Source organism: Homo sapiens, chromosome 3 (genome assembly GCF_000001405.40).
Source record: "Homo sapiens chromosome 3, GRCh38.p14 Primary Assembly".
NCBI classification, from domain to species: domain Eukaryota; kingdom Metazoa; phylum Chordata; class Mammalia; order Primates; family Hominidae; genus Homo; species Homo sapiens.
In genome coordinates, this window is record NC_000003.12 from 120780020 (window position 1) to 120797327 (window position 17308).

The 17308-nt window shown below is 39.1% G+C and overlaps 1 protein-coding gene across 1 annotated transcript in view, besides 2 other annotated features; it reads left to right on the plus strand.

The window, feature by feature from the left end:
- GTF2E1 (general transcription factor IIE subunit 1) overlaps positions 1–3050 on the plus strand; it is a 40326-nt gene extending 37276 nt beyond the window's left edge. Inside the window, exon 5 of the mRNA NM_005513.3 lies at positions 1024–3050. Within this exon, the coding sequence (NP_005504.2) occupies positions 1024–1451 (428 nt within the window). The 3' untranslated portion in view covers positions 1452–3050. The remainder of the gene's footprint in view (positions 1–1023) is intronic.
- Positions 1214–1263: an enhancer, noted in NCBI's record as "active region_20339". NCBI's record gives its function as "activates an Ori minimal core promoter by ATAC-STARR-seq in GM12878 lymphoblastoid cells {active_cell/tissue: GM12878}" and the evidence as "EXISTENCE:reporter gene assay evidence [ECO:0000049][PMID:35858748]".
- Positions 15043–15337: an enhancer, noted in NCBI's record as "tiled region #15271; HepG2 Activating non-DNase unmatched - State 12:CtcfO". NCBI's record gives its function as "activates a minimal TATA promoter and a strong SV40 promoter by Sharpr-MPRA in HepG2 cells {active_cell/tissue: HepG2}" and the evidence as "EXISTENCE:reporter gene assay evidence [ECO:0000049][PMID:27701403]".

Genomic DNA, 17308 nt, shown 5'->3' on the forward strand with positions numbered 1-17308 from the left:
AGGTGTGTGGTGAGAGAAGCTTCATTCCTAAAATTAGATTCTTTTTTTATAAAGAGTTTTAAGTATGCTTAGTTTGCTTCATGAAAATAAAACTCACATTTATTCACTCATTTGTCAGATGTTTATTCAGTGCCTAACAGAGTGGCAGGTACTATTTAGGTAAATGGGATATATCCATGAATAAACAAGATAAATATCTGTTGTGGTAGAACCTACATCCTTGGAAAGGGGGTGACAAAGACAATAGATGTAAGTTATTCATTATGTTAGGAAATAAGTGCTATGGGGGAAAAATAGAGCATTGGGAATGTAGGGATAGGATACATTTAAAAGGTAACATTTGAATAAAGACATGAAAGATGGAAGGGAGTTAGCTGTGTGAGTACCTAAAGGAAAAATATTCCAGGCAGAGGGAACAGGTAATGCAAAGGCCCTGAGGTAGGAGTGTGTCTGATATGTACAAGGAATACCATGGAGGCTACTGTGGCTAGACAAGAATGAGCAGGGGAAAGAAGTAAGAGGTAGATGATCAGGAAGGATTCCAGATGATGTGGGACCCTATAGGCCATTGCAAAGCTTTTGGCTTTTACCTTGAGTGAGATAAAGAGCCATGTTTTGATTTTCTGTTATGCCAGCTACTCTAGTCGATTCTTCATAGACATTATCTTATATGTTTTTATTCAGAACCTTAGAAAGTAGATGCTTTTATCACCTCATTTTACAGAAAAAGGTATTGAAGTTTAGAGATTAAATAACTTGCCCAAGATGCTTGTGTGTAGAAGAACCAGGATTCAAATCTATGCTATAATACTCTTAAAGCCAATGTACTTGACCATTATGCTACTTAAGCTCCAGTTTGTAAGAAATATTTTGAATATTTTATGGATAGCAGCTCAAAAATGGAACCAGTGAAGTCTGTTATTTTATCGTATTATTTAAATATATGTTAAAATATTGTCTATATGCTATAAAGAAATGCCATTTATATTTAAGGATATTGACTTTCTGAGTTTTACTCCCCAGGGGGCATAGATATGGACGCATTTCAGGAGCGTGAGGAAGGCCATGCTGGGCCTGATGACAACGAAGAGGTCATGCGAGCACTGCTCATTCACGAGAAAAAGACTTCCTCTGCCATGGCTGGTTCAGTGGGGGCAGCTGCTCCAGTGACCGCTGCCAATGGCAGTGACTCAGAAAGCGAGACCAGTGAGTCAGATGATGATTCTCCACCCCGTCCGGCAGCTGTGGCTGTGCATAAACGAGAAGAGGATGAAGAGGAAGATGACGAGTTTGAAGAAGTAGCAGATGACCCCATTGTCATGGTGGCTGGCCGTCCGTTCTCCTACAGTGAAGTGAGCCAACGGCCAGAGCTAGTGGCCCAGATGACACCAGAAGAAAAGGAAGCATATATAGCAATGGGACAACGCATGTTTGAGGACCTCTTTGAGTGAGCTTTCCCTAATTCTTTCTCCTTTCTCTAATGCTCAGTTCAAAAAGGAATGTCTCATCTTTGAAGAAAAGTATTTAAGTGGCTTTCTGCCCCTCTTGATGTAAGCAACTGTCCATCCTTGTGCAAAGATTGATGGTAGAGAGTTTGACTTTTATGCCAGAAACTTTCCCAGCAAGGTAGGGTGCTGAGAATCCTACCCTTCCTTGCTGTCACTACAGTATTAATATTTTACTGTATTTTCTTTTCTTTTTTTTTTTTTTTTGGAGATGAAGTCTCACTCTTGTACCCCAGGCTGGAGTGCAATGGCGTGATCTCGGCTCACTGCAACCTCTGCCTCCTGGGTTCAAGCGATTCTCCTGCCTCAGCCTCCCGAGTAGCTGGGATTACAGGTGCCTGCCACCATGCCTGGCTAATTTTTGTATTTTTAGTAGAGGCAGGGTTTCACCATGTTAGCCAGGATGATCTCGATCTCCTGACCTCATGATCCACCCGCCTCGGCCTCCCAAAGTGCTGTATTTTCTTATCTGATTTTTTTCTTGCCTTATTAAGACATAATTTTCTCCCTTCTGAAATGAGTGAGGGAAGTTCATAAGGTAAATCCTTCCCATCCATCTGTTTACTACAATAGGTTACAATAATTCACTGATCACATCCATTTTATCTGTTCTAGCCAGGCATTCCAAACAATTTCTTATACTGCTGCCCACCAAAGCAGCTTGCCAACAGTCAAATCACTGATTGGGGGAAAAAATCCTGAAATTTTGCTTAGAATTTGAGCATTTCCTCAAAATTGAGATGGATCAATATGTAAGGGGAGGTGGGAGCGTGTGTGGAAGGGGGAGAGATATACTTGAGTCTTATGATTAATGTCTAAACCAGAATTTGTGTCTTTAGAACTGACCAGACTGGTAGATTTTATTGTATTGCTTAATGTCTTTTGGTTTGGATTTAGGATGATAGAAAACAGAAGTATAATTGGTAAACCCTTAGGAAGAAATTAGAAAAACATGGACGTAAGACAAGAAGTCTCTGTGAAGGGTTGAAGAGTGACAAGCATTGGTAACAGTGCCTTAGAACTGTGTCAGTTAGTCTGATTTGGAAATCCTTTATGTAAAGCTGAGACTGGTCCTGGTTTTGTTCCCTTTGGGTACAGACCTCTTGTCAGTGCTATAAATTGTTTAATGAGGCCATTCCAGCAGAAATCAACAGAATAATTGATTACTCTTCTCTCTCTCTGTCACTCTCCCTCTTTCTAAACATCATTGAAGGCTGTCTCTCTTTTAATTTTTGTCAGACACAGTATTTTAGGGTGCATCCAGTATACCATTGAGCATTGTAACCTCAGGAAACAGTTTATTTTGGGTTCTGATATGTAGCATGGTATTTTCCCTAAGGCAGAACTTTAAAAATAAAGAACTTTCACACAAGGGTCTGTAACAATTGTATATCTTACAATATTTTTCCTTGCATTGTAATTTTTAAGTATTTATCATTTTATAGTACACATGTAAAGAATATATGAGCCTTGTATGGAGTGATGTTTCATTTACCTGGGTTGTGTTAATGACTGAATGTTGACAATAAATCTGTTTTATACTGACTGAAGTTTGTTCATTTTAAGTTCTGTAACATCTTGGGGCATATTAAAATGAATATTCTTCCCATTAAAAAAATGTTAAAGACTTTTTTATTAGTCATATTTCAAATGATAGATGCATATGGGATCTAAACTTTTTGTGCAATAAGATGCCTTTGTACCTTGTATACGTAAAGTATTCAACTTTTACACTTGATCTTAGCCAAAAGACCAAGAAGCAATGCTCTTCAGCTTTTAAACATTGTTTTTTAAACTTTTATAGTTCTAGAAGTTAATTTAAATAAAATGGTAATCAGATGTTAATTTTTAAAATGTAGTTAATTTTTTAAACTATTTTTTGTAAGTGTGTTCATGTATATGTAGAATTCGTGTTATGGGAAAATGTCACAAGTGAATATGGAGGTAAGAATAAAGGTATTCATTGCAGCAGTATTTGAAATAGAATAGAAAGATAGATATACTCACTAAATCTGTATTTAGTCCTAAGTACTCAGGAGGCCAAGGCAGGAAGATTGTTTGAGCCAGGAGTTCAAGGCTAGCCTGGGTAATGTAATGAGATCCCATCCCTCCCCAAAAAAGAATGTATTGAGAGGAAAAGATATCCATAATGTGTTAAATATAGGATTCAGTTTTTCTAGGGGTGTGTGTGTGTGAAGAAGAAAGTAGCTAACATATAGTGAACTGTGTGCCAGACACTATTTTAAGTGCTTTATATATGTTAACTCATTCAATCTTTTATAATCTGTGAGGTAGGTATACATATATAAATGTATATATATAAATTAGGGATGAGAATTACAGTGATCTTAATATATTATTATGAAAAAGATATTTTCATTTTGAAAAAGAATCAAACACATTTAATGAAAGAAATAGTAGAGTGTCAAAAGCAAGGTCTTTTTAGGTTGATGCTAGGATTTTTGGGTGAGTAGACCCTCAGTTAAGTAAAATGAAAAAATCCAGAGTTTATCATTTTCTCGGATAAACGTCTCTAAATTTATACTCAAAATCAATGGGAAGATATAATTTAATAGGTAACTACCTCCCTTTCAGTGACATCTAATAAGACTCAATAGAATTTATATTACTTTATCAGATAGGTTTGTCTCTTGAGTGGCACAATAATCTGGTGAGGAGAGACAGTCAGTGACAGAAGGACCAAAAATGGGAGCCCTGCCGATTAGCCTCTGAAGCTCTAGTAAGGGCAGGCTCACACCCAAGGTTGGTAGATACATGTAGTCACTGTGTTTCTTGACCCCAGGAAAACTAGAGTCACCACCACACACAGCCCATAAGTGATGATGGAGGAACTTGGTTTCCCTGAATGCGGTTGACTATATTCGTGTATCTCAAGTGTCAGCTGAACAAGTGTCCCAACTTTCCCACTGTCCTTTAAGATTTAAATAGAACTTTTTATCCTAACATGTTGGACTACTTCTTCTAGTATCATTTCTTTTGGGAGATGACAGTTCTTTTTTGCAGGTGGTAGGGGACCGGGGAGAGTAGGCAGGGAGCTTGTATCCTCTGGCTTCGCCTTTCTGCTTCCCTGGTTTTCCATCTGTCCTCTACACCACCTGTCCTTTACTCCCCCTAGTACCATCAACACAAGTTTGTGTAGCAGATCTTCCCTGAAGTTTTTACAGTAGTGAGCAAAGGGAGCGGGGCAATGAGGGGGATTTTTGTTTCTATGTTCCTCTTATTTTTAGTTGACACAATAATTGTACATATTTGTGGGATGCAGAGTGATTCTTTATCTCTTCCAACTTTTAGGCTCAGGGGTATATGACGTGCAGGTTTTCTGTATAGGTAAATTGCGTGTCATGGAGTTTAGTGTACAGATTATTTTGCCACCCAGGTAATAAGCATTGTATCAGATAGGTAGTTTTTCAGTCCTCACCCTCCTCCCACCTTCCACCCTCAAGAAGGCCCTCTTTGTGTCCATGTGTACTCAGTGTTTAGTTACCACTTATAAGTGAGAACATGGGGTGTTTGGTCTTCTATTCTTGCATTAATTTGCCTGGGATAATGGCCTCCAGCTCCATCCATATTGCTGCAAAAGACAGGATTTCATTCTTTTTTATGACTGTGTGGTGTTCCATGGTGTATATGTACCACATTTTCTTTATCCAGTCCACCAGTGATGGGCATGTGTTTTTATGGCAGAATGACTTACATTTCCTTGGGTATATACCCAGTAATGGGATTGCTGAGTTAAATGGTAGCTCTATTTGGGGTGTGTGTGTGGTTTTTTTTTTTTTTTTTTGAAACAGTCTCACTCTTGCCCAGGCTGGAGTGCAGTGGCATGATCTCAGCTCACTCCGCCTCTCAGGTTCAAGCAATTCTCGTGCCTCAGCCTCCTGAGTAGCTGGGATTACAAGTGTGTGCCCCCACACCTGGCTACTTTCTGTTTTGTTTTTTTTTTTTTTTGAGACAGAATTTCGTTCTTGTCGCCCAGGCTGGAGTGCAATGGCGCGATCTCGGCTCACTGCAACCTCCACCTCCCAGGTTCAAGCGATTCTTCTGCCTCAGCCTCCCAAGTAGCTGGGATTACAGGTGCGCACCACCACGCTCAGCTAATTTTTATATTTTTAGTAGAGAAGGGGTTTTGCCATGTTGGCCAGGCTAGCCTCAAACTCCTGACCACAGGTGATCCACCCGCCTTGGCCTCCCAAAGTGCTGGGATTACAGGTGTGAGCCACCATGCCTGGCCAATTTCTGTATTTTTAGTAGAGACAGGGTTTCACCTTGTTGGCCTGGCTGGTCTCCGACCTCAGGTGATCTGCCTGTCTCGGCCTCCCAAAGTGTGCTGGGATTACAGGTGTGAGCCACCATGCCCGGCCCAATAGCTCTTTGAGAATAGCTCTTTGAGAATAGCCCAGCCTAATAGCTCTATTGTTTTAAGCTCTTTGAGAAATTTCCAGACTGCATTCCACAGTGGCTGAACTAGTTTACATTCTGGCCAGCAATGTATAAGCATTCCTTTTTCTCTGCAACCTTGCCAGCATCTGCTATTTTTTGACTTTTTAATAATAGCCATTCTGACTAGTGTGAGATGTCTCATTGTGGTTTCGATTTGCATTTCTCTAATGATTAGTGAGACTGAACATTTTTTCGTATGCTTGTTGGCCACATGTATGTCTTCTTTTGAGAAATGTCTGTTTATATTTTTTTGCCCATTTTTTAAATGGAGTTGTTTATTTTTTGCTTGTTGATTTAAGTTCCTTATCGATTCTGGATATTAGACCTTTGTTGAATGCACTTTGCAAATATTTTCTCCTGTTCTGTAGGTTGTTTACTCTATTGATAGTTTCATTCGCTGTGCAGAAGCTCTTAAGTTTAATTAGGTCCCATTTGTCAGTTTTTGTTTTTATTGCAATTGTTTTTGAATCTTCATTATAAAATGTTTGCCAGGGCCTATGTCCAGAATGGTATTTCCTAGGTTTTCTTCTAGGGTTTTTGTAGTTTTAGGTTTTATATTTAAGTCTTTCATTCATCTTCAGTTGATTTTTGTATATGATGAAAGGAGGGGGTCCAGTTTCAGTCTTCTGCATATGGCTAGCCAGTTATCCTAGCACCACTATATTGAATAGGGAGTCCTTTCTCCATTGCCTGTTTTTGTTGATTTTGTCAAAGATTGGATGATTGTAGGTGTGTGGCTTTATTTCTGGGTTTCCTATTTTCTGTTCCATTAGTCTATGTGTCTGTTTTTATACCAGTACCATGCTATTTTGGTTACTGTAGCGTCGCAGTATAGTTTGAAGTCGGGTAGTGTGATGCCTCTGGCTTTGTTCTTTTTGCTTAGGATTGCTTTGGCTATTTGGGCTCTTTTTTGGTCTTCTCATATGCTAGGGTAATTCAAACCAGGTGAAGGATATTTTAATTAAGGGATTAATGTAGGTGGCAGGTTTAGAATTGAGGTTGTAGCAAAGCACAGCAAAAGCATGAGTTAATTTGGTTTCTCCTTCCTCATCTTGCCAAGTTACTTCGTTTCTAGTCATCTGAATGAGTGAGGGAGAAATAATTCATTCATTTCATAACTTGTTGGTATTATCTGAGACAAGTGGACACTGAATGGAAACAAGTTTGGGAAGAACAGTTCATTTTCTTTTCTAGCAGTTGGCTTGATGGCTAGGTTTCCAGCCAGGACCACAATTGAAAGACTTACATATGTACTTTCTTATTCTCTTTATTCTTGAGTTTAAAAGTAGAAAATAACAATCAAAAAACAAATACGAAAATCTTTAGAATTTAGAAATTGGTGTAATTTCACCTTTGTTTTGTTTCCACTAAAGCTACTTTATGTCATCTCTAGCAGAGCTGAGCTACTATCACTTTATTTTTTTTAATATCTAAAAATGAGGAAGATTTCCAGAAAAGAACTGGCACTATAGTAAATTTACTGTCAATTTTGTTGGCTCTTTCTGCTACAAAAGAAGCAAACTAAACAGTGAACAAGATAAGTACAGGTACTTTTAAAACATCTAATGCAAAAATGGGTTGGGAAGGGGAAAGAGTTATGAAATTTTACTTCTTCCTTTGAAGAGCTAAAGGAATGAACCTATTTTGGCATGTCCTCAGGGCAGGAACAAGTACCTTAGCTTCTCCTCAGAAAGAGCTTCATGACCTTCTGAGTATCAGAGGTGGCCTTTCCTATTCTAGTTGCAAAGCAGGTAGGCCTAGTACACAATCCAGTTTCAACAGTCAACCAGTCAACCCACGTTTCCCATAATGCAGAAGTGCATAATGGCCTACCTAATGTAAATAAGTCTGAGCAATTAGTCTGGAAAGAAGGCTGGTGCCAGGTCTGAAAATGCCTTGAATCATTGGGGCATACAGGATGGTTGTACAGTTTTTTGTTAATGTTTTAATTATTTAAAAATTCATTCAATAGGAAATATATATGGTAAAAAATGAAAACTCCCCAGCCCACCACTATCTTACTACACTGAGGTAATCATTGTTGATAGTTTAATGTGTATCCTCCCAGACCTTTTCTAGGCCTTTAGAAACCACACATACATACTACAGTGCTTTTTACACAAATGGAATCATATCATACACATTGCCATTTGGTTTTGAAATATCTTGGAGAGCTTTCCATTCAGTATGTTTAGATCTTCATTTTAAAAAACAAAATAGAATTTTATAGTTGTATAATGGTTTACGTAAAAATTCCTTTATTGACGGGCATTTAGATAGTGTCCAGTTTTTCACTATTACATGCTATAATCAATTACTCATTTTCATTCTCTTCGAGTATTTCTACAGAATAGAATCATAAAAAAGAAATAGCCAAACAAAGGGCATGTCTATTTTAAACTCTGATATATACTGCTAAACTGCTCTTCAAAAAGATTGCTGGATGATTTTAAGCAGAGGAGTAATTTGTAGTATTGATACTGGATTGGAGTTTAAACCTAGAGATTATTAAGGCCATTTCAATAGTCTTGGTAAGTAATTTGATCAAAAGACCTGAGCAAGTCAGTGGGGATGAGAAAGTGGGGACAAATTTAAGAAACTCTGGGGAGGTAAAATTAATGAGATTTGGTGACTGTTTGGATAGGGCAGTGTCTTGGATGATTCTCAGGTGTCAAGCTGGTTAGTAATTCCATTAACACCATTATAAATATAGGAGGAGAAGCAGGTTTTCCTTCTGTTCCAGACTCAGTAAATGTCACCACCATTTTACTTACAAGCTCAAGCCAAAAGTCTTAATAGTTTAATCCCACATCCAACTTACCAGCAAGTCCTGTTAGACTCAAAATATAATCTGATTTCGAAAGTAGAGGTGACAGGACTTGCTAATAAATTGAAACTATACTCTAAATCTGACTTCATTGCTTCCACCACCTCCACCCTACTCCCAGCCACATGAACTCTCACCTTGACTACTCCAGCATCCTCCCAACTGGTCTCCCTGCTTCCATGCTTATCCCCCTCTCACACACACATGCATTTTAACCATTTCCCACACACAAAGGGATCTTTTAAATCTAAATTAGATTATCTCACTCCCCTTAAAACCCTTAATTGATTTTTCTTAGAATAACATCCAAACTTACTCTATTCACTAGGCTTTACATGGTCTAGCCCCTGGCTACCTACATCTGCTAGTCTACTCTCTAACCATATTGACATTCTCTGTGTTTCTCAAATAAGCCAGCCTTTTTCCTGCCTTAGATCTTTGCCCTAGTGGTATACTTCGCACTTGTCCCTGTTATTTCATTCTCAGCTTCAGTACCACCTCACAGAAGTCAGTCTTCTCCTTTCTCTAAAGGAATCGCTTCCACTATCATATTTTTGTTTTATTTTCTTCATAGAAAAATTATTTGAAATGAACTTGTTTATTTCTTATTTGATTGTTTATGTCTATCAACCCCTCAAAAGACTGTAAGCTCCTTGGGGGCATATAGAATTAATTCTGGCAAGTAGTAGGGTCTCAATAAATGTTGAATGGATAGATGGACAGAATTGGCACTAGGGAGAACATAGCCTTTTCTCCACCAGGGCTCATCATTTTGTTCCTGCCTGAATGGCAAGTCAGTTAATTATGTTCTTAATCAGTTAATTACGTTCATTTGTGGAACATGTTACCTAGGGCTGTGTCTCCAGGACCATCAGTAGGGGATGCTGGGATATAGCTTCTAGGGCATAGCCAATGAGATGTTTAGAGGCTTTAATTCTAGTAGCCATTAGCTTTAGTGTTTTTAGAAAAGGGAATTAAGTGAGTACTTTGTCTAGGGCTGCAGTGTTCAATAAGGTAGCTTGGTTGCTAGCATGCACTTGAAATGTATCTAGTCCAAATTGAGGTAGGCCATAAATATATAATATATGCTGAATTTTGAAGACCCAGCATGAGAAGAAAGAATGTAACATATCTTAATTTTTTATATAGAATATACATTGAAAAGAATAGCATAGAATCAATTGAATTAAAGAAATATAATGTTAAAAATAATTTTACCTTTTTTTTTTTACTTCTTTTAATATGACTGAACATGTAAGTCTACATAAACGGCTCACATTTGTAGCTTAAATTCTATTTCTATTGGACAGCACTGGTCTAGGGCATCTTCTTCAGGTGCTAGAGTTACACGAATAACGTTATGTATTGTACTTAATGATTATTTGCATTTTTCCTCATATACAAGTTTTTTACCTGAATGCTGTGCCCACCCTCCTCTCCTCCCCCACCCTCTACCTGAAAGGTAGGTTTTACTTTGTTTGTAGGCTCTTTGTTCTTGGGAACGAATGGATTTTGTTTCTGGTTTATTTTTTCCCAGTGGGGAGGTGGGTTGGGGATGGTTGGGGTAATGTGTTTTGTTTGTTGCTTTTTTCTTGAAGTAGGATAGAATGGAAGGAAACTGCAGTAATGGCGATAAGGAACTGAAGTTTTTAATTACTGAGACCAATAGTGTGACATTGACGAAGCTCTGACTTCTGGGTAACTGAGGAACCTGAGCATCCTGTGAAGCTATGCCAGAGATGGAGGAGCTAAGAGCCAGTCCTAAATCAGAGGAGAGTTGGAAGTCCAATGTGTTGATCTAGATGCATGTATTAATAGATATTGTATGTTAAATTGCTCATATGTTTATTACTTATCCTCTCCCGCCCCACTAGAATGTACACTCCATGAGAGCAGAAGCTTTATCTTTCTTGCTCCCTGTAGTATTCTGGCTCAATGCCTGGCACATAGTCATTAATACCTATTTGTTGAATGAATAAACAATTAAGTGGCAACTTCTTCAGGCCATGAGTAAACTATGGACCTTATATAAAGGGCTGCTATTTTCCATTTCTGTCGTTATTTCTATACCTAATATCTGTGATGCTATTTTGTATTAATTTTTTTGTCCAGAACTTCCTGTTTGGAATGCTTACGGATGGTAAGTGCTGATCTGTGTAGCAAAGGGCATTTTCCCAGCACCTGGTGAAGCCCCTTAACCAAAAATACATCTAGCCCAAGACTTGCACATTAATTTGTTCACTTAGTCTACCTTAAGATCACTCTTTAAAGAGGACATTTGTAAAGAACAAAGATTATGCTGTTTGTTTTGTTCTTAAATCTAGGAGTTTTATTTTCATAAAAAATGGTGGTTCTGTGGTTGCCTTCATGATATCAAAGACCCAGGTTCCTTTTATCTTTATGCTTAGCCTGCTTTGGCAAATGCTTGTTGCTTCATAATGCCTGATCCACCCTCACCTTCAGGTAGAAAGAAAGGAGGGTATTGGGGGATACATGTGCATGCCAGCTGAATCAGTATTCCCCCACTTTTTTTGTGTGTGTGGTGAAATTCACTTGACATAAAATTAACCATTTTAAAGTGAACGATTCAGTGGCAATTAGTATATTCATGGTATTATGTAACCCCCACCTCTATTCAGTTGCAAAACACTTTTATCACCCCAAAAGAAAACCCAGTATCTGTAAAACATTTACTCCTAATTCTCCCTTTCCCCCAACCCTTGGCAACCACCAGTCTTCTTTCTGTCTCTGTGGATTTACTTTTAATGAATATTCCATATAAATGGGGTCATATGGTATGTGATCTTTTATGTCTGGCTTTTTCACTTAACATGTTTTTAAGGTTTTTACATGTTGCAGCATGTATCAGTATTTTGTTCCTTTTTATGGCTAAGTAGTATCCCATTATATGTATATACCACAATTTGTTTATCCATTCAGCTATTGATGAATTTAGGTTGTTTCTATATTTTGGCTATTGTGGATAGCGCTGCTATGAATGTTTCTATAAGTATTTGTTTGAGTACCTGTTTTCAATTTTGGGGAGTATATACCTAGGAATTGCTGGGTCATATGTTCTGTGTTTCTGTGCTATTTCTTTTTGAAGTAATACTTCTTCCTGTACTATCTGCAGTAATTACTGTTATCCAATGGAGAGTAGTACAAGATGTCTCTTGTGGGATGTGGGAGTCAACAGAGAATACCAGAACTCTAGGGTCTGTGATCAGAGATTTCCTGGCAATAACTACAAAGGAGAGATTAATAGGAAATATGCATATATGCATATGAGGTAAGAATTCAGGAATTCCAGACAAACCCCCCCCAGGAAGGAATTAGGTTATCTAAGTCACCCTTTACATTTTTCCCCGGGATTCAGTCTCTGAGTCATACTGGATTCATCCTAGCCTTCTAGTGCCTTAATCTGGAACTGTGATCTGTATGCTCCAATTCTCTGTAATAGTCAAGCCTTCAAGTACAGGATCAGCAGTGGGCTGATAGCTTCATTTGGTTAAGCATGGAGGTGAGGCCCTTCTGTTTGAACATGCTTGGAACGGTACCTATATCAGGGGTGGTAGTGATGGCAGTTGTTAGCATTGAGAGGATGGATCCAGAGCGAAATTGCCTCTCACAGTATTTGTGCAGTATGGAGTCAGCGTTAATCAGCCCTATTCTACCAGCTTCAAAAACCGGAGGCTGGCAGCTTTTCATTTCAGGGTAGTGAGCTACCTGGGAGGTCTCAAGAATGATTCTGACAATGTTCCAAGGGAATCTTTCCTGCTGCTATGTGCCTGTGTGCAGGTATTATGTGTATGTAGGAGGGTGGAAAAAAGGCAAGACAGGGTGGGCCTTTATGTTTAGTGTGTGGGTGGGGAGGACCTACCGTGTGGTATATGTCAGTCACATTTCACATTTCTTACAGGCCTTAACTTCTAGTAAATTTAGTGATAATTTCTTTGCTGCTTTTTTCACTGAGACTCATTAAGCTATAAAATTATCACAATGTTACGGGCATCTGTGTCCATGTTTCCAACATCATTTAGGCATCTGGCTGCTTCCTACTGATGTAGCCTTCTTACCCCTCTCACCTCCTCCCCTGCCCCTACCAACAGTTGGGAACAAAACACTCACCAAGCAAAGAACTAACTGAAAGAATATGACAGTGGCTGCTTTTCCCTCCTACGCTACTATTTCTCAAAAAGTATTTTGGGCCAGTTTGGGAATTCTTAACTATGTCCTCGCTGCCCTCCCCTTATTTGACTCACAGATGTCTTTCCACACCACCTCCCCATCCCCCAAAATGAGCTTGGTAAGTCCCTTTCTAAAGTTGCCTTTCTCCTTGAGTGATACTCTACCTAGGCTACACCTTGGATCCTCCCTTGATTTTCTTCCCTCCTCTTTCCTGCATCCTCTTCTCCGCCATATCACTTCTGGAGCAAGCCTCTTAAACCTACTTCCTATGGTGAACATGAGTGGTTTTCATTTACTTCCCCACAGTTTTTATTCCTTCCCCACTCTCCATCCATGTGATTCAGCTGGGATTGACACCCATCATAGTGACTGGATATGGGTTCCAGGACAATCAAGTTACCTAAGGGTTTTTGTTGAAATGGAAAAAAAAAAAAAAAGCCACTCTTTTTTTCTACAAGGATTGCTAAGACAGAGACTAGAGGTGGAGAGAGACAGATTTCCAATCATGACACTTGAGCTCCTAAATTCTGCCACACTTGTAGCCATTCTTACCCTTACAATGATTTTCTGTTATGTGAATCAATACATTTTATTTTATTCTTGGGCCAATTTGAGATGGGTTTTTATCCCTTGCAATTAAAAGAACTGACCAAGACAAGACCTGTCAGCCTACTGTTATCTCCACTTCTATAGTTCCCTCTGGGCCCTATTCAATTGGAGACAGCATTTTGCCCATATCCTTAACCTTCTCAACCCCTGCCACTGACTCACTTCAGTATTAAAATTCCATACATACACTAGGGCTTTTTAGTCTATCAAGAGGCTTTCCTGTCTAATTCGATTTTTACATAAAGCTTTGAGGAAGATAGAGGAGGCATTTTTATCCCTTTTCTTCTGCTGAGGAAACAAGTTGAAAGAAGTTTATGCTGATTTACCCATTTCAAGCTATTTGTAGTCACTGCTGGGACTCAAACCTGATTTTCTTAACTGCAGATCTAGAGTTTCTCTTCTTTTCTTTTCCTTTCCTTTCTTTTCCTTCTCTTTCTTTTTTGTTTTTTTGAGATGTGGTCTCACTATGTTGGCCAGGTTGGCCTTGAACTGCTGGCCTCAAGCAATCCTCCCACCTCAGCCTCCCAAAGTGCTAGGATTACAGGCCTGAGCCATTGGACCTGGTCTTAGAGTTCTTTTTTTTATAAATTGTGTTGCCTCCCCTGGGTAGAAACACAGCTCTAATGTAAACTTACACTGTCTTCTCCCATGGAAACCTTTTTTTAACACCTGTAAGGCCCTGTGGGACAGAAGGCCTTTGTTTCACTATTTCTTTGAGATTGCTGTCCTCCATTTTTCAATATTTGAATAACATTTCATCTGTGTGTACCATCTACTACAGTCTTTGTTTCTGTTGTAGGTTCCTTCTCAAGGACTTATCCTAGTTTAAAAATACGACTTTTGCCCAAATTTCATTTGGGTCCTACTGCCCGTTGGAGAACCCTTTGGCTTCTTCGATCCTTCAACAACCCAAGACCTCCCACAAAGCCAGTCAAATCATTCATCATTTCTACTCTTCCTGATCTGCTTCTTATGATCCCACTCCTGGGCTGGGAAGTGCAACAGCAAAGAGACTAACGCATGCACTTTTGGCCTTGCTGCCTATTTTCATCTGGGCCCTTTCTGCTGTGCAGATCTCTAGGTGGCTACATTCTTATAGTAGCTGCTTCTCAACCTTTGCCAATCTGTTCATGGTCTTGCTTTCTCTATTTGATGTCTGAAACCAGTTTGCCTTCATAGAACTTCTATAATAAACATTACTGTTTGCCTACTTAGCATCTATTGCTTCCTTCCTTATAATATCTGATTTTTATTAAGGGATCCCCTTACCAAGGAAGTACATGTGTTTTAAGAGAAGCTAATGCTATAGTCATATCCACAGCTGGTCCTGATTGAGCCAAGGGTAATTACAGTAGTAATTGGGGCTGTTCCTAAATATTCTGGTTCTCCTTGGTACATAGTAGAATTGTATTTCCCAGCTTGTTGAAGTTAGGAGTGACCATATGACTTGCTTTGGCCAGTAAAATGTGAATAGAAATGATATATGTCACTTCTACGCAAACGCCTTTAAAAGCCAGTGTGTGATTCACCAGACCCCCTTCCCTCTGCTACAATGATTGCTAAAGCCTGTGTCAAGGTGAAGCCTCCATTAGCCTCTGTCCTAGGGTGACTATAATGGTAGAGCGCCCCCTGCTGACCCACACTGGCATGTAGTGAGAGCAATAAAATTTTAGCTGTATTAAATAGCCACTGAGATTTGGGGGTTGACTGCCATTGCAGTTTAAGTCCTAACCGAAATAGTAATCACATCCTCTAACCTGTACCTGGGTCAGGAACCTAGCCTAAACCAAGGAATAGGTTGAAAAAAAGCTTGTGACTCAGTTGGTACACTGAGATGAGAAGGGAGATTTGCTGGGGCTTTGATGAAAGAAGTAAGTTACTTTTAAGAAAGTAACTTTATGAAAGTAATTCATCAGAAGAGATGAATCCTCTCTTTCTCTGCATGTTGTGTGTAAACGTGAATCCTGGAGTTATTGTAGTCATCTTGCTACCTGCCTGAGGATAAAGCCAATGCAGGGGGAGAGCAGTACCAAAAGAATCACAGAGAAATGAAGCCAAAGCCCTCATTGAATCACAACCAATCATTACTCTACTTCTGGACTTTTTCATTTAGGAGAACCAATACATTTCCTTTACTGTTTAAGTCTTTTGAGTTTTCTGTTACCTGCCTCCAAAAGCATCTTAACAGTTGCAACTTCCTTTCTCGGTTCTTATTTCCACTTCCCACTCTTCCATTTAGTCTAAAAGAAATAATAACTAATAATGGCATTTGTTTAGAGAAGACTTACTCTGTAGCTGGCACTATGCTAAGTGCTTTTCAGAAGGAGATTATCATTCCATTTCAGAGTAGCAAAATGTGTGAGCTCTTTGAGAGCAAGATATATGTATTTTTAAATTTGTAGTTTTTGTAGAGATGAGGTGTTGCTAGGGCTGGTCTCGAACTCCTGGCCTCAAGCAGTCCTCCCACCTCGGCCTCCCAAGGTGTTGGGATTACAGGCATGAGCCACCATGCCCTACTTGTAAGAATCTTTTCTCATTTGTACATATTTGTTTTCACTGCAATTATGATATAGTACAGAGCCAGTACTGAGCAAATATTAACTGAACAAATATAAATTGACCTTTATCCTTAAAGGGCTTACTGTATTGTTGTATATTCAAGTGTTAGAAACCTGCAAGATTCAAGACCAATACAAGACAGTATATGCTGTTACTCAGTTGAAGATCCAAAGGGCATGGTACTAATAGTAAAGGCTATGAAAGAAAGATATTGTCATTATCATGATTGCCTGAAGGTTGGGAGCAAAAACTTTTTGGAAAAGGTCAAATTTGATCAAAAAAGAAGGATCAGAATTGAATAGTACAGCAGGTTGGGGAGTGGATATCCCCTAAAGTCAGGGCAATAACAGAAGCAATAAATAGCATGGTGTCAAAAAGGAACTTGGTGCATTGAAGAGTGTGCAGTATATCTAACTGAAGTGCTCAATGTTAGACCTTTTATTCCATTTTTCTAATCATAAGAGACAATAGAAAGCCATTTGCCTTTGAATTGCTTGAGGTAGGCTTGATATAAAAGAGGTATTGTGGCCACTACTCTGACTATATGCTCAAACCCCTTGCACACAGTAGTTAATGATGTTTGTAAACTTCAAATGCATCCATCCATGTACCATTTCTCCCCAGAGAGAGTAGAAGTTTCCAAGGGCTTGTGTGCCAAGCATTCTGCTTCTTTCCTGGCTCTCTTAATTCAATGCTAGACACATACTGGTGCACAGTAGTCCCTCAGTTAAGTACTAACTAAATTGATTTAAATTATCTGGTTTGGGGAAAGAAGTTATGTGCCTAGTGAGCCTGGTTTCTCAGCACATTAACACTTCATCAAACCTCTGTCAGATCAGATTCTCAATAGGATATCTTAAATACATGCTATTAAAATACCTAAATAGAAGTTCCATCTGTTTGAATAGACTGAGCCTGATGAATCAGCCAGAGAGGTGGGAGGCTGATCCAGCCAGACATGAACCTATCGGGTGGGGAACAGGCAGCTAGCTCTCCCTCCTTTTGCTACCCCGCTAGTGCTCACATTAGAATGTACAGATTTATGAAGTGAAAACATGATCAACCAGTTAGCAAAACGCAAAGACTGGAGCAAGCCGTAGGGCATTGTTTGTAGGCTCGCTAACAGATGTCCGGCTGGAACCCCTCTTCCCAGCTGTAG